General features: G+C 35.6%; 1 annotated feature.

Moving 5' to 3' along the window:
• Window positions 3,967–4,136: an enhancer, noted in NCBI's record as "experimental_44839 CRE fragment used in MPRA reporter constructs". NCBI's record gives its function as "activates a minimal promoter by MPRAs in K562 erythroleukemia cells, with activity observed for the introgressed 16:77006591 variant allele {active_cell/tissue: K562}" and the evidence as "EXISTENCE:reporter gene assay evidence [ECO:0000049][PMID:34662402]".

Raw genomic sequence — 4,390 nt, forward strand, 5'->3', positions numbered from 1 at the left:
TCACAAGTTATCCAACCTGTGCATTTCTGTTTAAAGTACTGAGAAAATTCCTAGTCTTGGAAATGTCTGTGTTCTTTTTCTGATAGACACTGGTAAGTGCCACACACATACACACACACACACACATACATAAACATAAAAAAATTGGTAAACTTTAGGTGTATCTATGGATACCACTTTTGCTATTTAACTATCATAAAACAAATCTCGAATGAAAATATATTGTAAGTATGAAATGTAATCTCTGGTTTAAAATGTAAACTTTGCGGTATGATGAATGTTAACATGACATGAATATGATCACAATCAAGTAACAAAAGCCAATATATTTCGTGGTCATCTATGTTACTTTGTAATTTTTCATTAAAAAATTACCAATATTACAAGTGATTAGAAAAAGTATTTTATTCTGATATTCTCACTCTCAGCAATAAATGTACTCCAAAATATATTCCCCTATTCCTATTTATTGAACTCTTTTTTTTTTTTTTTTTTTTTTTTTAAGATAGGGTCTTGCTCTGTCGCCCAGGCTGGAGTGCAGTGGCGCTATCTCGGCTCACTGCAACCTCCACCTCCCGGGTTCACGCCATTCTCCTGCCTCAGCCTCCTGAGTAGCTGGGACCACAGGCGCCCGCCACCACGCCTGGCTAATTTTTTGTATTTTTAATAGAGATGGGGTTTCACCGTGTTAGCCAGGATGGTCTCGATTTCCTGACCTCGTGATCTGCCTACCTCAGCCTCCCAAAGTGCTGGGATTACAGGCGTGAGCCACCGCGCCAGGCCTCTTTTGTTTTTTAAGGGTCTATAAGTTAATCATCCTTGTTGGTCTTCACTATAGACATTGATTGTCTTTACGTATGAAATAACCTTTTAGAAATATGTCTTCAGAGCTCCCTGTCATGTTCCGCATGCAAGGTCCTCTTTGTTACCAAGAGAAAGGAGTTCACTTCTGGATTGAGTTAAATATCAGGTCATTGTATTTGATTGACAACACAATTTCTCAGAGGTTTTGAAGCATGTTTGCTTTTTTTCTGTTTCTTGCACCTCAGTCAGATTTTGTCCGTTCTTTGAAAGGTCCTGGATCTGAGGTTATATATCTTCCTTGATAACTAGAAGCTGAAAAAGAAACTTTCAGAAACACAGTAAAATATAATTATGATGTCACTTTTTGATGTTTTAGTTTTATGCTTATATTTTTAAATAAAACCTCTGTATAAAGTATAAAGTAGTTTAGAAAACATTTTGAAACACAGAATTACCATGTAGAGCAAAAACAAACCTGACTCTGGAGTTATAATCGTATCAGAATGACTCATCTAAACATTTATCAGAGATTTGGGGGATAGGCAAGAATATTTTTGTTTGGTTAGAAACCTTTTGGGGTGATGGTTAGTTCTCTGGTCCAGCTTTAGCTGAGCTAGAACCATAAAGTCTTTAATTTCATGAAGTATGGGAGCCTATTTTCTTGCCTGGCTAATTTTTTAAATTTTTTGGAGAGGCATGGTCTCACTATGTTGCCAGGCTGGTCTCAAACTTCTGGCCTCAAGCTATTTTCCCGCCTCAGCCTCCTAGAAATGGTGGAATTACAGGCATGAGCCGCATTGCCCAGCAAAAGCCTCTAAGTGGTGATTTGCTGTTTGGCCTGAGAGTAATTTGGAGGCTGTGGCTGAGTCAGCTTCTCTTGTTGACTGAGCTGATGTCACTTTTGACCTTCATTGTTCCATAATTCCTTATGAAACTCTTCTGAAGCACTGAGAACCATCGACGGATCATATCAGCATGAAGTTATAGAAGTATAAGAGAACTTAGGAAGCTAAGTGTTCCACCTTATGAGAGGAAAATTCCTCTTGTACCTTATGAGAGGAAAATGATGCCTGGAGCTCTTAAATTAATTATTAAAGCACTACAGCATGTTTTAACTATGAATAATAACAATAGTATGTATTGAATATTTGATACACATCAGTCACTAAGCTAAGGGCTGCCCATACAAGATGTAATCTTTACCTTAGCCGTGTGAAATAGGTATTATCATTATCTTCATTTTACAGAAAAGGAAACTGAAGTAAAGATGAATGGTGTAATTTATTGTAGGTCTCACATCTAGAATGTGGAAAGATTAGAACTCAGATGCCTGGGTCTCAGAGGTTCTGCTCTTCAGCACTGCCATGTACTTATTCATAGCTGGTTAAACAAGTAAGAGCTGGAGCAAAGTGTCAGGGACTCAGGAATGAATAAATCTCTGTCTCTGTACCCCTGGATGTCACAATTTAGCACAGGGGTTGGCAAACTTTGTCTCTCAAGGCCCAGATAGTAAATATTATAGGCTTTGTGAGCCAATACAATCTCTGTGGCAACTACTCAACGTTGCCATTTTAACATGATACCAGCCAGAGCTAGTATATGAATTAATGAACATGGCTGTGCTCCAATAAAACTGTATTTACAAAAACAGGCTAGTGGCCAATTTACTTTGCAACATGTCATCAAATAGAATAATTACATAAATATATAATTTATATAACTAAGACATAAGTCCTGAGGGTGACATTTATAAATGGCAGAATCATAGAGGAGTGATGGATCCTGCCTGAGATATTTAGACACAGGAAGTAACATTTAAGCAAATATATTGAGGAATTAGTAGTAACATTAGAAGTAACATTAGAAGTAACACTATGTAGGCAAGATGGAAAGACATTTGCAGCAGAGGTGACAGCATAAGTAAAACCTTGGAGGCATGGCATTCAGGAAACAGGTAATTTAACAAGATAAAGTACAGGTATGTGCTGAGGAATAGTGGGAGAAAAAAGACAGATATATTAATAGATGGGGAAAAGGGGATAGTGTATGATAGCCCTAAAGCAGTGCTAAGAAACTTTATTTTAGATGGCACAAAAGGGAAGGCATTAAAAACTCTTCAAAAAAGAAAGCATTATTATACTTATGTATTTAAAAAATTAACTTTTTCAGCATTTTCTTGAAAGGGAAAAATGTGATAAAACTTATTTTAAGAGTGCCTGCTTTTTATTGGACATATCCAAGTTTTAAAATACAGTTTAACTTCAAGAAATATATAGCAGGAAGAAATAAAAATGAAAAGGACAGTGTCAGCTTTTGTAACTTGTGATAATATTATAACCTTTTTACAATGCCCTGAAGTTATACTTTTAGTTTAATTAATCTTCACCTTTGGATTCATACGTAGTTTTTATGTTATTCATGAATAAGAAATTTGTGTAATAATTTTTCCTCTCTTCTAGTACAAATAAAAACCTTTAATAAAAATTTTATCATTACAAGAAGGCTTTAAAAGTATATTTTATGCCCCAATATTGTTTTTTGGGAGGAATGTGTAGAACATCATGTTTATGTTTTGTTCTGGGTCCAAATGCAGTTGGAAATAAGACTCTAGTAGATGAGGGATGTGGACAGAAGAGCAATGTCCTTGAAGTTAGGACATGTGACACCTCTTCAGACCCTACCACCGATTAGCTGCTTCACCTTGAATTTACTAATCCTCAAACTAGAAAGTAGATTACATGCTGTAACAATACATGAGAGTATTTCTAAAAACAAAAATAGCTTTGGTGAGTACATAACAGCCGGCAGACCCAACTGTACTTTTATAGCATCAACTTTTTGATTTTTCCAATGACACACCATATATCAAAATGAAAACTTGGGAATGAAAATAGGAGTCTTCTGCAAAGTGGTGCTCTAATAATTGGAAAAGATTAATGTCTCTGAGACTTGTGAAATCGTCAATAGAACCTTGACCTTGGATTCCCCATGATTCTTAATCACCTTGGATTCCCTATGATTCTTAATATAGAACAATATACTAATGTTTTCAAAAGAACTAACATAAAATCACAGTGGAAGATTAAAAAAAAAAAAACCTTGTGGTTAAAATAGTCATTCCTTCATGTCATAAGCCGTGGTTATGGTTTAGGTTTCCTTCAGCTTAAATCCAGCAACTCTCTTGGGTACCTAGGTCTTGGCATTGACAGAGACAGCACTGCCTAGAAGTTAACAGTGCAATGTTAGTTAGATACAATCATTTTCATAATAGGTTTCCCCACCTGAACCATAAACAGGTTATTGTTCTGGAATGATCCCTCATGTTTCTGAGGACAGGTATGGTGATTGGAGAAAAAGAAATTATTAGTCTATTAAAATGGTTAATTATATTAACAGATTTGCTTAATGTTGAATCAACCTTGCATTCCAGAGTTAGAACTTACTTTTCATTAAGCATTATCCCTTTCATATATTTCTGGATTCAAATTGCTACTATTCCATCAGGGATTTATATAGCTATGTTTAGAAAACACAGTAGTCTATAATTTTCTTGTAATGTCTTTGATACCAGGGTATTGCTGGCATC

Source organism: Homo sapiens, chromosome 16, assembly GCF_000001405.40.
Source record: "Homo sapiens chromosome 16, GRCh38.p14 Primary Assembly".
Taxonomy (NCBI): domain Eukaryota; kingdom Metazoa; phylum Chordata; class Mammalia; order Primates; family Hominidae; genus Homo; species Homo sapiens.